General features: G+C 52.6%; 1 protein-coding gene across 18 annotated transcripts in view, besides 5 other annotated features; it reads right to left on the bottom strand.

The window, feature by feature from the left end:
* The window catches only part of SEMA4A (semaphorin 4A), a 30,372-nt gene extending 11,862 nt beyond the window's left edge, over window positions 1-18,510 (bottom strand). For 2 of the 18 annotated variants that reach the window (XM_011509871.4, XM_047427678.1), the window contains exons 1-9: window positions 16,115-16,199; window positions 9,309-9,469; window positions 7,751-7,813; window positions 7,397-7,495; window positions 7,059-7,164; window positions 5,324-5,440; window positions 4,854-4,978; window positions 4,365-4,537; window positions 2,789-2,939 (exon numbers count right to left, since the gene is read on the bottom strand). In XM_011509871.4, coding sequence (XP_011508173.1) covers window positions 2,789-2,939; window positions 4,365-4,537; window positions 4,854-4,978; window positions 5,324-5,440; window positions 7,059-7,164; window positions 7,397-7,495; window positions 7,751-7,813; window positions 9,309-9,469; window positions 16,115-16,139 — 1,020 coding nt within the window. In that variant the 5' untranslated portion in view covers window positions 16,140-16,199. Of the gene's footprint in view, window positions 1-2,788; window positions 2,940-4,364; window positions 4,538-4,853; window positions 4,979-5,323; window positions 5,441-7,058; window positions 7,182-7,396; window positions 7,496-7,750; window positions 7,814-9,308; window positions 9,470-11,165; window positions 11,336-12,118; window positions 12,357-15,789; window positions 15,940-16,004; window positions 16,200-18,452 lie in introns of those variants that run through there. The other 16 variants (XM_047427670.1, XM_047427671.1, NM_001370571.1 and 13 more) reach the window with 16 other exon arrangements.
* Window positions 3,636-3,787: a silencer, noted in NCBI's record as "fragment chr1:156131887-156132038 (GRCh37/hg19 assembly coordinates)". NCBI's record gives its function as "represses an EF-1alpha promoter that drives an FKBP-Casp9 reporter gene in an ReSE screen in K562 erythroleukemia cells {active_cell/tissue: K562}" and the evidence as "EXISTENCE:reporter gene assay evidence [ECO:0000049][PMID:32094911]".
* Window positions 6,360-6,499: an enhancer, noted in NCBI's record as "active region_1850". NCBI's record gives its function as "activates an Ori minimal core promoter by ATAC-STARR-seq in GM12878 lymphoblastoid cells {active_cell/tissue: GM12878}" and the evidence as "EXISTENCE:reporter gene assay evidence [ECO:0000049][PMID:35858748]".
* Window positions 11,233-11,282: an enhancer, noted in NCBI's record as "active region_1849". NCBI's record gives its function as "activates an Ori minimal core promoter by ATAC-STARR-seq in GM12878 lymphoblastoid cells {active_cell/tissue: GM12878}" and the evidence as "EXISTENCE:reporter gene assay evidence [ECO:0000049][PMID:35858748]".
* Window positions 14,466-14,595: an enhancer, noted in NCBI's record as "active region_1848". NCBI's record gives its function as "activates an Ori minimal core promoter by ATAC-STARR-seq in GM12878 lymphoblastoid cells {active_cell/tissue: GM12878}" and the evidence as "EXISTENCE:reporter gene assay evidence [ECO:0000049][PMID:35858748]".
* Window positions 14,606-14,675: an enhancer, noted in NCBI's record as "active region_1847". NCBI's record gives its function as "activates an Ori minimal core promoter by ATAC-STARR-seq in GM12878 lymphoblastoid cells {active_cell/tissue: GM12878}" and the evidence as "EXISTENCE:reporter gene assay evidence [ECO:0000049][PMID:35858748]".

The raw sequence follows: 19,558 nt of genomic DNA, 5'->3' as shown, positions 1-19,558 counted from the left end.
AAACTCAGAACTGAAAGAACTAAGATAACTAATTTCCAGGCTGAAGTGGCCCATTGAGTACCCAGCACAATAAATGAGTAGTGTTCCATCAAAGCACAACACCATGAAATTTCAGAACACCAGGACAAAGAAAAAGCACTATAAGATTCCAGTGAGGGCAGTGAGGTACACTGCCTATAAGGTAGCCCTGCTCCACAAGGATCAGTATTAAAAAAAACAAAAAAAAAAGATTTCAGTGAAATAAAACCAGGTTACATTCAGAGGGCTAGGGATCAGAATAACTTTGGGCTTCTCAACAGTACCTCTGGAAGCTAGAAGATAATAGAGCAAGGCCTTCAAAGTTTGAAGGAAACGTATTTCTATTCTAGAATTACGTATACCTAGCTGAACTATCAAATAGGAAAGTAGAATACATTTTCAGACACTCAAGATCTTAAAATGTTTTACCTGCCATGTATCCTTTTCCAGGAATCTACAAAGGATAACCTCCACCAAAATGAAATAGTTGAAAAGAAAAAAGAAAAAAAAAAGAGGAAGCCATGGGACACAAGAAACAAGAGATCTGTCACAGGAAAGAGGCAAAGGGAATCCCCAGAATGATGAGGCAGGGGAATTCCAGGATGGCATCTGTGCTCCGGGAGTAGACGGCACTAGTCTAGACTGGAGCAGTCAGAAAGGCTCTCCAGGAAGATGAAACTGTTAGAAAAGCTAATAGGTCTGTCTTCAGAAGAGATTCAGATAATTTAAGAAGAGTTTGGGGTTGGATTAAAGATAAGAGCTTAGACCAGGCACAGTGCCTCATGCCTGTAATCCTAGCGCTTTGGGAGGTCAAGGTAGGAGGATCAACTGAGGTCAGGAGTTAGAGACCAGTCTGGCCAACATGGTGAAACCCCATCTCTACTAAAATTACAAAAATTAGCTGGGTGTGGTGGCGCACACCTGTAATCCCAGCTACTCGGGAGGCTAAGGCAGGAGAATCGCTTGAACCCAGGAGGCCGAGGTTGCAGCGAGCCGAGATCACGCCATTGCACTCCAGCTTGGGCGACAGAGTGAGACTCTGTTTCAAAAAAAATAAAAATAAAAATAAATAAAAAGCTTAGAAAACAAAGCAAGCAGAAAAGTCAAGATAATTACTAACCCCAGGGAAAACAAAACTATGCAAAAAGGAAAAGTAATCATGGCTTACTGCCTGGCTAGGCTGTGAATAAGAAGAGTCATAATATAAATATTGATCTAACCAAAATTACTAGAAAACTACGTTAGGAGATTGGGGGTGGGTGCAGTTACTGTATGTTGGTCCAAGTCAGCTTTTGCGGGAGAGGGTTAGAAAGCCGATTTGCATTGTTTGCTGATTTCCGTGATGTATACTTCCACCATGGCTAATTTCAAGCTACCAGTGTAGTATCACTAAACACAAATTTGGAAAAAGATGGGCAAAAACAGTTCTTGCTGGCTGCTGCAAGTCAGCTCTAGCACACCACTGGGTGGAGGTGGGGGTTGGGGAACATAGTTAAATCCTCACTTTCTACAGTGGGAATTCAACAGATACTGTCTGAAACTGAAACGTCACGAAGTAGCAATAAATCATGTTATTTAGAAATTTTGAGATAAATTTGAAAAGAATCAGCTAAAAGAGTTGAAAATGGTTGGGGAGAGGTGGAGGATGGGAAATAGGACTGCTTTTTATAGTCAACCCTATAGATCTATTTCATTTTAGATCTATTTGATTCTTCAAATCATGTACATATAATAGCTCTGATTTTTTCTCTTTTTGTAGAGGAGAAAATGTTGCCTCACCATGTTGCCCAGGCTGTGATTTTTTTTTTTTTTTTTTCATTTAAAAACTTCTTTAGAGACAGCATCTTGCTCTGGTCACCCAGGCTGGAGTGCATTCTCGTGATCATAGCTTACTGCAGCCTTGAACTCCCAGGCTCAAGTGATCCTCCCACCTCAGCCTCTTGAGTAGCTGATTACAGGCACATGCCACCAGGCCCAGCTCATTTTTTTTGGTAGAGACAGAGTCTTACAATGTTGCCCAGGCTGGTCTCAAACTCCTGGCCTCAAGTGAACCTCCTGTCTCAGTCTCCCAAATGGCTGGGATTACAGGCATGAGCCACCATGCCCAGCCTCTGATTTTTTTTTTTTTTTTTTTTTTTTTTTTTGAGACTGAGTCTCACTCTTTCACCCAGGCTGGAGTGCAGTGGCGCAATCTTGGCTCACTGCAACCTCTGCCTCCCGGGTTCAAGCGATTCTCCTGCCTCAGCCTCCCAGTAGCTGAAATTACAGTCGCGTGCCACCATGCCTGGCTAATTTTTGTATTTTTAGTAGAGATGAGGTTTCACCATGTTAGCCAGGCTGTTCTCAAACTCCTGACCTCAAGTGATCCACCTGCCTCGGCCTCCCCAAGTGTTGGGATTACAGGTGTGAGCCACCACACCCGGCCCTGGCCTCTGATTTTTTTAAAAAGTTAAATAAATGCAGGTGGCAATGCCCAAGACAGTCCTTGGCACACAGCGCATGTTCCCTTGTTTCCATAGTGATATACCCAGATATTTGGTGTACACTTAGCCTTGGTGAAGGGAGATGGCTCCAGCAACTGCTCCGTGTATAAAAGGGTGCTAGGCACATGTGGAATATAGGCAGCTATACCAGGTGTACGTCTGAGCAGGCGAGATTGGTGGGGTGGAGAGCACTAACATTTATTGGGCATTTACTATGCCATGATAGGTGTTTTTTCATGCACATTATGTATGTGTAGACTGTGCTCAGTGTGGGGGGTAGTACTCACACTGCCTGGCCGGGGGTTGGTCTCAGGGCCCCTATAAGTAGTCCAGCGTGAAGTTTCTTTGTTCAACTCTTTGTATTTCCCCTTAAAGACACGTTCAATGTCCAAGAGAGAGAAGGCACAAACCGCAGAGCTCCTGGTCCCGCCAACCTGCCTGGAGACAGCCAGAGGGAACATTGTCTGTGGTCTCTGCCACACCAGCAGCTCTCTCTCCAGCGCTGGCCCTCAGTGAGAAAACCCAGGAGGCAAGAGTGTGGAGAGCTGGGCCAGCCTCCAGCTACCACTCCTTCCCCTCACTGTGTTGATAAGGGCCAAGGGAGCCCCATGGAATTCCCTGACTCTGGCCCAGGGCCTGGCTCTAGGCCCATCTTGGGATCTGAAGTCTGATTATCCTTAATGAGAATTAATTGGGGCTCAGGCCCTGGGGTGGCCCCTGCCTGTCCTGCCTACACTGGGCTGCACCCATTGGAGGGACAGTGTAACCAGCTCTAGCCTGGCTCCACACAAACCCCTCTTCCTTTGAGTCTCTTGGATCCCTGGTCCTCAGAGAACCGACCAGTGCCTGACTACCAGACTGTTATTATTCCTCAACCCTGGTCTGTGGAGACAGGAGGTCTGTTTCTCTGCTCTCTTGAAGCTGACTACTGTATACACCAGGCTCTCAATTCTGGATCCTGTGGATACCAGATCCCACTTACCCCAAATACCTTTGGTACCTGACACATTGTCAGCAGGTACCTAAACACTGTGGGGCCAGACCATGACTCGGGGACCTTGGACAAATTGGTTAACCTTTCTCAACCTTCAAGCAATGACTTTATTTTTATTTATTTTTTTTGAGACGGAGTCTCACTGTGTTGCCAGGCTGGCGTGCAGTGGTGCGATCTTGGCTCACTGCAACCTCCGCCTCCCGGGTTCATGGGATCCTCCTGCCCCAGGCTCACGAGTAGCTGGGACTACAGGCATGCGCCACCACACCTAGCTAATTTTTGTGTTTTTAGTAGAGACGGGGTTTCACCATATTGGCCAGGATGGTCTTGATCTCCTGACCTCGTGATCTGCCCACCTCGGCCTCCCAAAGTGCTGGGATTACAGGCATGAGCCACCGCACCCGGCCGACTTTATTTTTATCTTCTGATACGGATAGCGTTTCCCTGTTTGCCCTGGCCATTAGGAAATGCAGAGCTAAATTTGTGGCTGGCATCCAGGGACTATCCTACATCTTATGACAAGCATTTGTAGTGTGTTGGCCTTACCCTTGGCTTCTCATATTCTCCTTTTATTCCCATTTCTGTATCTATTTTATCGATTTTAATATTTGCCTTTTGTAAAATGCTTCCTATCCCTTTTGGAACTAGGCAGAATATAAACTAGTTAGAACCTCTCTGCGTCTTATTTTTCCCATTTACAAAAAGGGCATGAGTCAAATTCCTGAGAGGTGGTGACGATTTAATGCCTTCCTATGTGAAAGTGCTGAGTAGGTGCTGGCTCATGTCAATTCCTGCCTCCGCTCACGAGCTGGGGCCTCACTGGCGTCAAGTCCCGTGTCCAGCCCCCATGGTCCAGCCCTGCTGCTCACCACTGGGAGGTGAAGACTGCGTAGATGTGGGGAGCTGTGGGAGAATCGGCGGGGAGCAGGACCGCGTGGCGGATGACGTTGAAGGGCAGCTGCCCCGGCTGGGTGCAGAGCAGCTGGGCCTTCAGGAAGGTGGTCCACTTCTTCTGCAGCAGCTTTTCGCCGCCCACGTCATTCTGGGGGCACAGGGGGAGTCAGGGGGCGCCCCGGGCGCCCCGACCCCCCAGCCCCGCGTGTCCTCCCCGCCCCCCGCAGCTCGGCGTGTCCCCCCAGTCCCCGCCAGCCCCGCGTGTCCCCACCCCGCCCCCTCAGCCACGCTTGTCCCCCGCCCCACCCGCCCAGCCCCGCTGTCCCCCGCCCCACCCCGCCAGGCCCGCTTGTTCCCCGCCCCGCTCCCCCGCTCTCACTGGGGGCCCACCACTCAGTCCTGCCCCTGCCATCTCCCTATTGGTTCTCCTCCAGTTAGCCCCGCCCCCCGCCCAGGCCGCGGACCTTGCAGACTCTAGCCACCCGCGATGTGTGGAGCCTCTCAAAGAAGTCAAACTCGCTGGCTGTCTCCTCGAAGAAGAAGTAGACGACCTGGGTCGAAGGGATGGCTGCCACAAAGGAGGCGTCATCTGCGGGGGAGGGGCAGATGGGCTTAGGGACTGAGCCCCTGCATGCCCTGGGTTTGCCTGAGTGAAAACCGTTGGTTTGGCCCTGGAGGCCAGGACACACAGGCTTCCTCGGGTCCCACAGCTTGTCGAGGGGTAGCGATGTGGGGTGGGGATGACTGGTACTTCTTTAATGTGTTTACATAAGACGAAAGCTTCAAGAGAACCGGAGCTTTGCCTTCTTCCCTGCCATATACCCCCTGCGCCTAACAGTAATGGACACATTGTACCTTCCGCAAATGAAAGTTGAGTGAATTAGCAAGGTCACCAGGACTCAGGAAAGGAGGCCAGCGGGGGTCAGGTCCTTACGATGCAGCCAGCGGAGGAAGTTGTCGGTCTTGAGGACAGGCTGGGATCCCAGTGTGCGCATCAGGATGGGCTCACTGCCCAGGAAGTTGTTCATAGTACCAGAATAGAGCATCCCATCTAGGGTGGAGGAGAGGAGAAGAGAGAACTGATGGGGTGGAGGGTTCCTCTGCCCTCCACAGACCTGCCTCTGACTGGGGCTGGCATCCATATCAGTCTCGGGGGCCCTGCATCAGTTCTGCACCTTCCTGGGGAGCCTCAAAGGCCAGCTCCCCCTCCTCACTAAGCACCCCTCTTAGCTTCCTCTCTCCACAGGAAATGGCCATCCTGTGTGGCCCTCCGTGTTTGGGCACTTTTCCAGCCTTTCTGTGGCTACTTCGTCACATACCTAGCTGAACCACTTGCCAAGTAGAATCACTTACTGATCCTGGAAGGTGACTGTGTTTTCCACTTCCACACCTTGGGTCCTACCCTTCTCTCCCTGGAACACCTTCCCTGCCATCTGTCTACCTATCTTTTCAAGGTCCTGCTGAAAAGCCGAAGGCCATCTCCTCCAGGAAGGCAGGTGGGAAGTCTGTAATGGTTGGTGTCCAGTAGTGCATTGATACATGGTTTCTCTCTCCCTTTTTTTTTTTTTTTTTTTCAAGACAGGGTCTTGCTCACATCCAGGCTGGAGTGCAGTGGTGCCATCACAACTCACCGTAGCCTTGACCATCTCAAGCGATCCTCCCACCTCAGCCTCCCAAGTAGCTGGGATCACAGGCGCTTGTCCGGCTAATTTTGTTGTTGTTGTTTTTGTTTTGTTTTGTTTTTAGTAGAGACGAGGTCTCACTATACTATTGCCCAAGCTGGTCTCAAACTCCTGGGCTCAAGTGATCCACCCGCCTCAGCCTCCTAAAGTGCTGAGATTTCAGGTGTGAGCCACTGCACCCAGCCTGATTTCTTGTTTATAACTCCTATACTACCCAGCACAGTGCCCAGTACACCAGAGGAAGTGTTCACACAATTGTTGAACAGTGGCTCAGTCTCAGGCCTCTTCTCTACCCAATACCCTTCCCGGGCCCTCGTGCCTCTGTCTCTCCACATGCATCTTTCTCCACCACTTTTTGTGGCAATTTCAGCAGGAGCTGGTGGTTGGGGTGCTTAATTCTCCCTCTGATCTTGTGTTCTGAGGCTTCTGGCTTCCCTCTCTCTCTCTGTCCTCTGCATTTTCTGTTTTGTTTTGTTTTGAGACAGAGTCTTGCTTTGTTGCGCAGGCTGGAGTGCAGTGGCGCGATCTTGGCTCACTGCAACCTCCACCTCCTGGGTTCAAGCAATTCTTGTGACTCAGCCTCCCGAGTAGCTGGGACCATAGGTGCGCCCTACCACGCCTGGATAATTTTTGTATTTTTAGTAGAGATGGGGTTTCACCATGTTTACCAGGCTGGTCTCAGACTCCTGGGGTCACATGATCCACCCACCTCAGCCTCCCAAACTGCTAGACTGCTAGGATTACAGGCATGAGGCACTGAGGCTTTTTTTTTTTTTTTTTGAGACGATCTCGCTGTGTTGCCCAGGCTAGACTCAAACCCCTAAACTCAAGCATCCTTCAACTTCAGCTTCCAAATAACTGGGACCATATGCACGCATCACCACACCCAGTTTCCCCTGCCTTTTGGAAAACTCTGTAATATTCCATATTTCACAGCGTGACTGGAGAAAGTAGATGTTGGGATGAAGTGGGAAACCTGATACTCACCCACCAAGACAGCCGTATGCTTGTGAGCGGGGTCAAAGGGGCTTTGGCCTTTTCCCTCCATGACCTTGTCCTCCGAGATGGGCAACAGGTAGGAATCTTGAAGTTCCTAAATGGGGAGAGAGGCTGGGGGGCCAGAACGCCAAGGTCTCACATCTGGGAAATGAGGGGCTTGAGGAAGGAAGGGAAAGGGACATAGAGGGAAATTGGTCTGGGGCCAGGAAGTTCATGAGGGTCCTGCATCTGGAAGGCCAGAGTTTTCCAGAGCTACAGAGGAAAGTCGTGGGTAGATGTGAGAAGGGATGCTTGGGGGCCTGAGCGCTGGGCACCAGAGAACTCACAATGAAGGTACAAGCAGGGCTGAAGGCGAAGGTGCCGCAGGTGTAGAGATGGGTGACATTGTAAGAAACCAGGACACGGATGAAGTTGAAACACTGTGTCTGAGGGAGACAGAGAATTTAGGTCTCCAGGCCACCTGACTCAAATTGCTGGACCCCCAGAGGCTGCCCCCTCACTGAGGAGAAAGGCTAGGTAATGCTGGGGCAGTCCCTGTACGCCTCTGTAGAACATAATCCAGGAGATAACCGTGCAAACAAGTGCCCTCCACTGCCGCCCAACCTGAGGTCATCCAGGGATGGTCTAGGGATGCCAGAGCTCTCTACCCACTCTACCCCTACTCCCCCACCTCCACTTACCTCATTGCTCTTCTTCTTAAAGGCACATTCACTCTTTTTTCTGTCACTGGCTGGCCACGGTATCTGAAAGTGGGGAGTTGGGAGGGCGAGATGAAAAGAAATAAGGTCCTCAGTTCTAGCTGTGACCTGCCTCCCTTCTCTGCTCTGATGTGAAATAACCAGCAGACATGGTGGTTAGTGACATGCTGATGGGCAGTAATAACATCAGTTTGTGACCATGGCTATTACTTGAATAATACTGGTATCAGACATAGCTCCATAGTTGAACACAGCCTAAGGAATCAGACAGACCCAAGTTTAAATCTAGACTTGGCTATTTCCTGACTGAGAGATCTTGGTCAATTTCATAGGCTACTGGCAGATACAACCAGGTGGCATATACAAAACACCTAACACGATGAATGGTATATATGGCAGCAGTTGTCAAACCGCACATTTCCTGGGGAAATTGTTTAACAAGTTGGTTCCTGGGTCACGCCTTAGAGAATCTGCATTTTTAACCAGCATCTCATATGTGCAGGTGGTCAGCAGACTACACATCAGGATACATGAACCATGGAGGTGATTGCTAATATTGCTAGTGCCTTCTCTCCCTTTCTTCCTTCCTTCCTCACATTGTTCCCATTAATAGGGCGACTAAGACAGAAGCAGCCAGGCACAGTGGCTCACACCTGTAATCCCAGCACTTAGAAAGCCTGAGGCGGATGGATCACCTGAGGTCGGGAGTTCGAGACCAGGCTGACCAACATGGTGAAACCCCGTCTCTACTAAAAACAGAAAAATCAGCCATGCCTAGTGGCGGGCGCCTGTAATCCCAGCTACTCAGGAGACTGAGGCAGAATTGCTTGAACCCAGGAGGCAGAGGTTACAGTGAGCCAAGATCACGCCATTGCACTCCAGCCTGGACAACAGAGTGAGACTCCATCTCAAAAAAAAAAAGACACAGAAGCATCAGTGATTTCTACTAGTGGGTAGATATCAAATTATTGATATAATTTGAGTCAGTGTTTATCTCATATGTCAATGATTTCCATATCAGCCATTTTTGCAATTAATATTATTCAATCACTATTCACAATACCAGTGAAGAGTGAAGTCACAGGCCGGGTGCGGTGGCTCACGCCTGTAATCCCAACTCTTTGGGAGGCTGAGGCAGGCGGATCACCTGAGGTCAGGAGTTTGAGACCAGCCTGGCCAACATGGTAAAATCTCGTCTCTATTAAAATTAGCCTGGCATGGTGGTGCATGCTAGTGCCAGCTACTTGGGAGGCTGAGGCAGGAGAATTGCTTGAACCTGGGAGGCGGAGGTTGCAGTGAGCCAAGATCGTGCCACTGTACTCCAGCCTGGGCAACGGAGCAAGACTCCATCTCAAAAAAAAAAAAAAAAGTGAGGCCACGACATTTCCTGTCTGTTATATTGTCACGATATACATATAAAGAGAACTGCTGATTACAGATAACAGCAACTAAGTTATTCATGCACAGGCAGCCAAGCCCAGGGTAGCTGCCGGCCCCCTCTTCACTCCCAGCCCACACTCTTTATCCCTGGACTCCTCACCATGTTCTTTAGCCTGGGGACCCCTGGATCCTGGATATCCAAGGCCAGAATGGCTTCTCGAGCCCCCACGTAGAGAGTATTTCCATCACCACTCAGGAGCAGAGTGTCAAAATCCTGGAGGCCCTTCTGGTGGAAGAAGCTAAGTGCCCTACGTTCATCCCCTGTTGGAGGAGTAAGACAGAGAGAGTGATGAGGACTTGGTGGGCAGGCAGCTGACTCCTGAGATAAAAGTGGGGGAAGGGGAAGGGTTGCCTGAGTGTGCTCCCCAGGCCTTGGCAGCTAGATGCACTCTCCTCCACCAGCAGTTCTTCCCTTCACCCCACCCCAACACAAGAGCGTTGTGTGCTGAGCCCGCAGTAGAGAGGAGAGGCAGCCAGAGGCAGGGTAATGGGGACGGGAAATAAAGTGAGGCACAGTGGATGCTCTTCCAGGCCTGGGACAGGGAGGGCTACCGTCGGGGAGGACGCCTTGGTCCTCACTAGGATGAGGAGCAGCAGGCAGACAGACAAACAGGAAAGTGTTGGCAGCCACAAGCAGCAAAGCTATATGCAGACAGGAGGGCGTATGTCAGAGTCCCTCTCGCCATCCCCCCAACCACCCCTGCTTTCTTCCTCTTCTGTTAAAGGAAATTCCCACCAGTAGAGTCACCACGAACAGAGAGGAAGCATTTTTCTTCAAAGATCCATGTGGGCATGGCTGGATGTCCCCTGGGCAGGGATGGTGAGCCAGGTGTGGGAGGCTCACCTAGGTCCTCTCCATGACCTTGGCATGGTGGGGTGGGTGGGGGTGTATTTTCCTGTCCCACTGGCACATCGGCAAGGAGGAAGGAGCTCCTCAGATCCTCTCTCATTAGCACTTGCACTGTTGCATTAGTTAGAAAGCTGACTAGCTAATTGATACCTTTGCAGGCTCAGGGAATCTTACACAGTACAGAGGGGAGAAGTTGGGGAATCTGGTGTGGCTGCGGGATGGAAGGGCCAGCCTCAGGGAGGAGCATCTCCTGGAGGCCAGGCCTCCCCCAGAGCTGCCATAAACCCCTCAGTTGCTGAACAGATCACCCTGTATTGATGGTCTGATTGCTCATGTCTTCCCCCTTGTGACTGTGAACACCTTGAGGGCAGGGGCTGAGGCTTATCCGTGTTTGTGCGCCCAGCATCCAACACAGAGGAGGTCTCTGCATCAATGAGCAATATACATTTCTTTTACCAATTGCCCCAGAAAGATGCTAAAGACACAGCCATGCCCAGTCACCTACAACTCCTACAGTGTCTACATCCTTTCCTGAGTCTTCTCCCTGGAGGTGAGGGGGCCAGCAGCCTCCACAGTCTCAGTAAGAAACCAGCCAAGCTGTGCTTGTGTGTGGGTTCCAGGGCCCATTCTCCAACCAGCCATCCCATGGTCCTGGACATGGTATGGTCCAGCATGATCTATGTGGTTGGCATGGGCCTGGCGAGCTCCGGGTCACCGGGTCCACATATGGTCTTCTAGCATGGGCCTTGACTTTGGGGTACCTGGGAGTGTGAAGCAGTTAGGAGTTTGAGGTGCCCAGCTTGGTGACAGTGATATTTAAGGAAGGAAAGAAAAATTACCAACATGGAGAACTGGAAGAAGCGTGCCCCTGGCCCCGTGGCCACCTGTTTTCCTCAATCTGCTCTCCAGTGGCTTTTCTTTCCTTTTGGACTTCTGTTTCTGGCTGTGTCTCTCTTTCTCCGAGATCCTCTGTTTCTCCCTGGCATCTCTCTCTGTGTCCCTGTTTCTCCATATCCATTTCCTCCCCTCCTCTGTTCCTCTCTCCTTCCTCCACCCACCTCCAGCTCTCTATTGCTATCCCCACACTTCCTGCTGTCGGACACTTACCTGCATAGTATCTGACCCTGGGCATGGGCCCCTGCCCGCCTCCCCCCGCGGTCGTCGTCGGCAGCAGCAGCTGAAGCAGTTGGAAGAGGAAAAGGCCCAGGAGGCTCCAGGGGTCCAGGCCCAGGGCTGGGAGGGCCATGCTCAGCCACAGACTGTCACCAGGGAGCTCTGGGGAAACAGGCACCCGGGCACTTTCTGGGTGAGCAGTTCTTACCACATCCCCCCGAGGACCAATAGGAGAGCCCCAGGCAGCAGAAGCGTGTGTATTGGTGGCAGGGGTGGGGCATTGGGGCAGAGAAGGTTCCCTATCTGGAAGGGCCCTAAGACGGTCTCACTTTCATCATCCTTCCAGGCCTCAGCCTGTCACCTCACTGTCCCCTATGGGTAGGAGCCCAGGTCTCCCCTATCCTGCTTCTTCTGTTGTCTTCTCACCAACAGCTCTGGTTTGCCTTTTTTTGCCTTACTCTCAGGAAGTCTTTCCTGTCTTTCCTCCTTTGCCTTCCCTCTTCTCATAGCCCAAGCCCAAACCGTTGCCTGGCTCTGGGCAGGGAACATTTTGGGGAGCAGGTTCCTGTACCCAAAATATAAATTCCTCAGACCTTACTCTCCTGTCACTTTCAGATCTGTTGACACCTGTGCCTCATACTCAGCTCTGACCCAGGTAGGCAGACTGGGTTTGAGTCTGCCTGCTCTAACCTCTCCCCCAGCCCCAGCTGGGTTCAGGGTCTTTGAGGCTCAGGCCTGCCTGGCCTGATACTTCCAGGGAGGCAATGAGGGTCCATCCCACCAGGTTGGTTATCAGCATTTCCCGGGGAGCTGCCTGGGCAGGGGTGGCTGGCCGGCTCCCAGCCTCTGCAGCTCCCCGGCCCCCTTGTCTCTTGCTCCTGTGTCTGCCTCCCTGGGCCTCTACATAATCTTCCCCAAGACCACCCACCCCAAGCCACCCATCTCACCTCACATACCCTTGAACCAGCCACAGTGGGAAACTCGGTGTCTGGATTCTAGGGCGGGGGTGCCATTCAGGAGAAAGAAGAAGGGGGGTTCCCAGGCCCCAGAGGCAGGGGACAGAAGGCTCAGCCTGGCTGGAACGGGAGTGCGGCCCTCCAGGTGCCCATCATGCCAAAGCCAGCACTGGGAGCTCTAGGCCAGGGAAACCGGAATTTCCACCTCTCGAGTTGTGACAGATCCTGGCTTGGGCGGAAGTTGGTGGATTGGGAGGGAATAAAAAGACGTTCACCCACCTCACAAGAGACACACCTCTCTCTCCCTCCTCTGCTCGGTCCAACCAGAAAGTTTAAGAGGCCCTTCTAGGTCATTTCAGCGATTCCCCTGCCTCTCCATCATGTCACAGCCAGTATAACCAGCCTAGCAGTGGTTTCTTCTCTTGCTTAAGATTTCCCAGATAGGGGACATGACATATTCTTCTTTTCACTTACCCACAAGGTGGGGTCTCTCTACTCCTACCTACTGGGAAGTCCCTGCAGTGGTCTAACCTTTAAACCTCCCACTCTCAGCTGGGCCACAGTCTTTAAAAAAATAAAATAAAATAATTGTATTAGGCTCTTATCCATGATTTTGCTGAGGAAGTCCCCCTTGCAGTCTAATCTCCATCACTCTTTGACATCAGGCCAATAGGAAGCCCAGAAATCAGGCCAGTAGAAAGCCCAGAACATTTCCCATCTGAACTCGTGCTCACTGGACCACACTTTGGAGGCACCCAACCCCCAAAGGTGGCTGCTCACCCCTCCCTAAAGGCTCCAGGGGGAGCCTCATAACGCGGGGTTAATGAGGCATCCAGCGCCAAGAACTCTGTGGCCTACAAAGTGGGTAGGTTCCTGCCCACTCGACATGGTCAGCTGACTGCAGGTTAAAGAGCACAGACATCCCAGGGCTAATCCAACTCTAATAAATAATCCACTTCCATCTGACATGCACATTCCTCCCTGGCAGGAAGTCCTTCCTGTAGTGTAACTTCCATCCCTCCTGCTACAGCACCAGCCAACATGGGGGATGTTACAGCTCAGGCTACTCCTTATAATTCCTCATCTGAGGTACTCAGCCTTCTTTCATCTCTCTCAGTTTCCCCGGGGGTTGGTCTCAGACATATCCTGCCTGACAATCGTTTCTGTCAAGACTTGCCTAGGACTCCCCCAGACTCTCCCAGAGGCTGGTTGCCAGGTCCCTTCCAGTTTCTTAGAATCAAGAGAAACTCCCATTTATCCAGACCCTACCTTCTGTGTCTCCCCAACCCCCAGCTCAGATTTGGGAAGCCAGTCTGCCCCTGGGCCTCTCTGCTTAAACAGATTGGCTCATTTGGGTCACTGGGAAGAGTTCTGATACGGGGAGGCTGGGGGAGTTCCAGCCCTACACTCCCAGCCTGATGTCCTATTCCCACCTTTCTGGAAGTCATAGACTCCATGCCCTGCCCCCAGTTCTTCCTCCAGACATCCAGAATTCTCCCAACTCCGGACGTCCTCTTCCCCAGCCCCTCTAGCCAATATGAATAGTTCACACTATCAGGCTTTAGCCCTCCCAACAATTTTAGCAGCTAGGTACTGCCATAATCCCATTTTACAGATCAAGAAGGGAGGTTACACAGCTAGAAGCCAAGTTAAATTCAGATCTGCCTCATTCAATAGCAAATCTCTTAGCTACAAAGACTCTACAGAGTCCTAGTCCCTCAGTCCTCCCTCCTGCCCCAGTCCACAGTTCTGAGCCACTTGGATAGAGAAGGCAAGGGTGGGCTGGGAGGGTAGTGAGCTTTATCTACTCTAGGCTAAGAAATCAGATCTCTGGGGTGATTTCTGAGGACTTTCAACAGGGCAACCGCACAGCATTAAACCAAGAGTGGGCTTTTTTTTTTTTTTTTTTTTTTTTTTGAGACGAAGTGTTGCTCTGTTGTTGCCTAGGCTGGAGTGTGGTGGTGCGATCTCGGCTCACTGCAACCTCCACCTCCCGGGTTCAAGCCATTCTCCTGCCTCAGCCTCCCAGGTAGCTGAGACTACAGGCATGTGCCACCAAGCCCGGCTAATTTTTTTTGTATTTTTAGTAGAGATGGGGTTTCACCATGCTGGCTAGGCTGCTCTCAAACTCCTGACCTCAAGTGATCCGCCTGACTCAGACTCCAAAACTGCTAGGATTACAGGCGTGAGACACTGTGCCCAGCCCCAAGCGTGGCCCTTATGGGCAAGCTTATTTGTGTCAATAAAGCGTTTCAGAGGGAACAGAAACCTTCTTGAAGGAAGGCTGTGAGGTACCACCCCCTGCCTCTGCAAGGGCCTCCTGGTCAAAAACAGCAATAGGAAGGGCACCCTGCCCCCAGCAGTGCACCCCTCACACCAGTCTCTGGGGTCAGACCCCAAGCCCCACTGCCATCTCCCCTGCTTCAGCTGGCAGGGCCCCAGCCAGTGCTGGCTTCGTGGGCACGAGACCTGTGCAGCCACACAGGGCCCTGTGCTCAGAAGGGCCACACTTGGTTTAATGCTCTGCTGTTGCTCTGTTGAAAGTCCTCATAATACTTAAACAAGGGGCTCTACATTTTTATTTTGCACTGGGCCCCACAAATAATATAGCAGGTCCTGCACACAGCATCAAAGAAGCTCAGGGCTGACAGGGTACTCAGACATACCCTTCCTGACAACCGTACAAATGAGGAAACCAAGGCCAAGGAGCAGAAGTACCTTGGCTGGGAATGGTGTCAGGCAGCAGGTCAGGTGGGGTGGCAGTGGGAAGGGGTCAGATGTTCAGGGACCTGCCCACAGGGGCCGTGTCATTTTCACAGCTCCAATCTGGGGTTTCCCCCAGCCCATTTCTCCACAAGCCCTGGAGCCCAGCCCTGGGTCCTGCCATGACAACAACACTGAGTGCACCCTCTGCCCTGCCAGAGTCCAGCTCCTCCCCTGCAACCCTTACACAGCATGCGATGTAGCCCCTTCCTGCCAGGTTCTATTGTGCAGAGGAAAGGTCTAGATGTGGAGGTGGGAGGGGAGATGGAGAGGTTGCTTCCCGCCCCGACTCTATGCTACCTCTGAGCTTCAACCAGCCCCAGACGCTCAGTCTCTTCTGAGCCCCTGCAGAACACGGATGCTGCACTAAAGGAGCAGCTCCTGGAGCCAGGAGAGAAGCAACTCCTGGCTTCACGAGTGATCTGGCAGGTCCAGTTTCCCCCACCTCCTCCCTTTCAGCTTCAGGGGCAGCCCACAGAAGAGTCCAGTTCTGGGGAACATTGCCTCCTGACTTCCCTGCCTTAGCTCCACCTGCCCTGGCCCTCATCTGCCCTCTTGTTATGGTCACAGGCAAGTCAAGTCAACTTATATGTATTGAGTGCCTAGCGTGTATAGGCACTAGGGACGTCCCCAAGCCTCTACGCCCCCTGTGTCCCTCCACCTCTTCCCATCCCCACTGTCTCCCAGCCTTTTTGCCACCCACCAGCTCAGTCCCTCCTAACCCCTTACCCAGAGCTTCCCAGGTCCCCTCCTCCAGTCTGACTAGCTCTGGAAGGCTGCGCTGAGTATCACACACAATAGCCCGACCCCTCTGTCAGCCCCCTCTTTAGGGCAGAGCCAGCACCAGACAATGGCCCCGCCCCCTCCCTTCAGAACTGTCAGCTCCCCCGCTCCCTTACCTGGAGCCTGGGGATGCCGCTGCGTTTCCCTCCCTCTGGAATGCCAGGCTTTCCGGTCTCTCAGTGCCTCAGCCCCTGCCACACCCCCACCCCCATTCTCAACCCCATCCCGCCTCACTGGTCCTCAGTCACCATGGCGACCGCATCTCTAAGTGGGAGGGACTAGAATCTCCCCATATTCTTCCTCCTCCTACCCATGTCCCACTGCGCCCCACCTTCTGTGGCTCCTGGATTCGCACATGTGGAGGAGGAGGGGCTCCAGATGCGGGAGGAGGTGAAAAGGAGGTACAGTAGCCCCCGGTCCCTGCTCAGCTCCCTTGCCCACCTTCAGCAGGCACCACCGTGCACATGTCACCACCTGGGTTCAGGGGGTCAGCTGGGGCCCATTCCTCTTTACAACCAGTTCCTCTGGGTTTCCCTCTACCCCGGGAACTGTGTATATGCCGGGGCGACACAGCTGGACCGCAGCCCAACCCCATGCAAATTCAGTTTGCCAATGAGGACACGAATGAGCCCACAAATATCTATGCAACTATGCAAATAAGCCAAGGGACAGACTCTGTTAAGAACCCCAAGGAGCCCTCTTCTATTTACAGTATCCTGACTTCTGAGGGAGGGGGTCCACTGCCAGGTTCAGGTTCTGCCTCTCCTTCCTAAGCTGCCTGAGAAGAAGGTGGCTCCCCCAGAAGCCTTCTGTGGCTAACACCCTCTGAGATGTATTAAAAGGGGAAGGTTTGTGCTGTAGAGAGCAGACTTCAGACAGGACTTTCCAAGGGTCTAGACTAGATGGACATAGGGAAAGAAGACAGCCGGATTCTTTCCCATTCGGGGAGGAGCACAGGCAGGCAGCGGTTTGTATGGAGCCTTTTTGAGAGCCAAGCCTGTGCCCTCTCCCAGCCCTGATCCTAAACAGCCTTGTTACTAGAGCTCCCTTATGTCTCTACTGGGCCCTAACTTTGTTGGCAAAATGAGGAGTTGAAAAAGCCCCTTCCGGCTGGGTGCGGTGGCTCACGCCTGTAATCCCAGCATTTTGGGAGGCTGAGGCTGGCGGATCACCTGAGGTCAGGAGTTCGAGACCAGCCTGGCCAACCTGGAGAAACCCCATCTCTACTAAAAATACAAAATTAGCCGGGCATGGTGGCGCATGCCTGCAGTACCAGCTACTCGGGAGGCTGAGGCAGGAGAATCACTTGAACCCAGGAGGCGGAGGTTGTAGTGAGCCGAGATCATGCCATTGCACTCCAGCCTGGGCAAAAAGAGCGAAACTCCATCTCAAAAAAAAAAAAAAAAAAGAAAAAAGAAAAAGCCCCTTCCAGGCTGGCCTCTCTGTCAGCTGGCAGGGGACTAGAAAAGGCACCATGAGTCTGGGGCGAAGGGCCCTAGATCCCAGGCTTGGTTGCCTGTAGCCTGCTGTGTGATGCTGGGCAGAGCATTTACCCTCCCTGCCTCACATCCATAAAATAATGGCTTTTTAACCTGCCTGGGAGCAGCATGGCTCCGCCAGACTTCATAGTATTTTTAAGAGGAAGGAAATGAGTGTGCTGGTGTCGGCCCTGGGTAGAGGGTTTCATGGACCAAGACTGCTTCCCCTTCATATCTGAGCTGGGGTGGTGGTTGAGCATTTGCTTTGTGGTGAAGCAAGGAGGGCATGGCATGTGCTGAAATCGGAAGTGGACCCTGAACGGGGCCGCCATGTCCCCACTGATTCCTGACACTCCACCCTCACTGCCTCTCTGCATCTCGGCTGTGGGGACTCAGAAAGGACCTGCCTGTTCAGGCTTCTCTCCCCTGGGACTGGGACACATGATTTGAAATTAAGATGGTGGGGAGTAGAGGACCCTGAACTAGTATGATAACAGGAAGGAAGCAGGTGAACTGCAGGAAGCCCTCACACCCCCATTGGACATCCTTGTGTCCCTGCCCCTATTTTCTTCCCTTTTAGGGGAATTGGATCCAGTCTCTGTGGCAGAGAAGGAAGGAGCTACCTTTCTGAAATAACCCAAGGGAATGGGGGAGCCTATAGATCCTACCTGGCTCCACTTCAATCCAGGTCACCCAGCCGGACTTTGGGGGCCTCCCCTGGCCTTGCCATATGAGAATCAAAACTTCCAGAAAAGAGCTAAATAGTCTTGATGAGAGAGTAGGGACATAGTCCAGGGTGGTGGCCATAGCCACAGTTAGAAACTCGCTGGAGTGAGCTGGACACCCAGACCTCCTGTTTGCAGTTCTGTGGGGTGGAGAGGGAGAGAGAGCCTTTCCACAAGCTAATCTCCATTTCTCCTGCTGCAGCATACATAATTCTATTTCCTCTGGTTTGTCTAGCCTCAATTTCCCCACCTGTGGGGAGTGGGGATGTTGGGACCCTGTGTCTTTGATTGCAGGGGGCAAGGAGTGGCTGATGGAATTTAGAAAATGAAGGTCTTGGGGAAATGAGATGGGGGAGTGGAGGGAGGAGACCCAGGCATCCTGCTCCTTAGGATATGCCCCTCAAGATCCCTGAGGCTGCCCCTCCCCCAGTAGAGGCCAGAGGACCACCCCCTGCATTGTTCACTGGAGTTGACACACAGACACTCCATGTCCATAGTCCCAGAGTTCTGGCATCCCGCCCCTCCCTCCCACCCCAGGGACCACAGTCCCCCTTCCCCACCACTTTTAAGCCTTACCCCCAGCCCAGAAGTGGAGACCCTAACCCAGGCGTCCAAGACTTCCAGCAGAGTCTGCACCGGACAGGGGGTGGAGCAGGGCCAGGCATGGCAGGGAGGGGGTGGGGGCCCTGCCAGCCCCCTCCAGTGCCCCAGTTCCCAGGCAGCTCTTAAAGGGACCAAGGAGAATTAGCCAGGGGCAGCTTAAGGGGGTGAGTGTAGAGGAAAGTAGGTGGTGGGGAGAGGACTGGACTTGCCAGGGGCAGGAAAGCCAGAGCTAGGACCACCTGACACCTCCCCTACTCCCCTGGAAGCCCCCAGGGTCCTCTGCCTCACTTTTCCCTCATCCCATGAGACCCCCATGCTGGCCACGCAGCTTCCGACTCCACCTCCTCAGACCCTGCCCCCTGTTCCCCTTGGGCTCCTGCCCACTTCCTCCCCTCCCCCATATGCGTGCCACCTCAGTCTCCAGTGAGAGCTGCCAGCTGGCACCAACTGGTACTAGGCACGGAGAATCAGCCCAAGAAGTGGAAGGGCCTGAGGCCTGGCCCCAGAAGGCAGGGGGAGGCCAGCACCCCAGAGTCAGTCAGGGGGCGTAGGAGGCACCTTCCTTTCCAGTTGCCTCTCCAATTCTTGTTTTCTCTGCCCCTCTGGGCACAGCGCAAAGGGGGCACCGAGGCTCTGAGGAGGACCTTGGCTCACCCGCTCCCTCTGCTTCCTGATGGGCTGTCAGGATTGTGACGTAGAAAAGGAAAATCTTAGTTACTCCAGGAGGGGCTGGGGCAGCTGAGAGAAACCCATGGCAGAAGAGAAGGACAAAGAAAATGGAGACAGAAGATAGCAGACAGACAAATAGCAGAAAGCCTCAATTCTCATATCACCCCTCTACTCACAACCCTCCCTGGCTTCCCAGAGCCCATGCAATTAATTTCAAACTCCCCGCAGGGTACTGTAGGCCCCTCCCGACCCTTTAGTGAGGGAGGGCTTTTCCCCAGGCAGCCTGGACTCCGCCTTTCTCTGAGTTTCTGTTCCTACGGTATCTCCCACCTGGAAGATGTACTCTTCCGGGATAGTAGTTCTCATTTCCACTTGATGAAACCCTTCTTGTCCTTTCATGCCAAAACAAC

This window comes from Homo sapiens, chromosome 1 (genome assembly GCF_000001405.40).
Source record: "Homo sapiens chromosome 1, GRCh38.p14 Primary Assembly".
Classification (NCBI taxonomy): Eukaryota; Metazoa; Chordata; class Mammalia; order Primates; family Hominidae; genus Homo; species Homo sapiens.
Note: the sequence above shows the minus strand (reverse complement) of the source record. Positions and strands in the feature narration are given on the sequence as shown.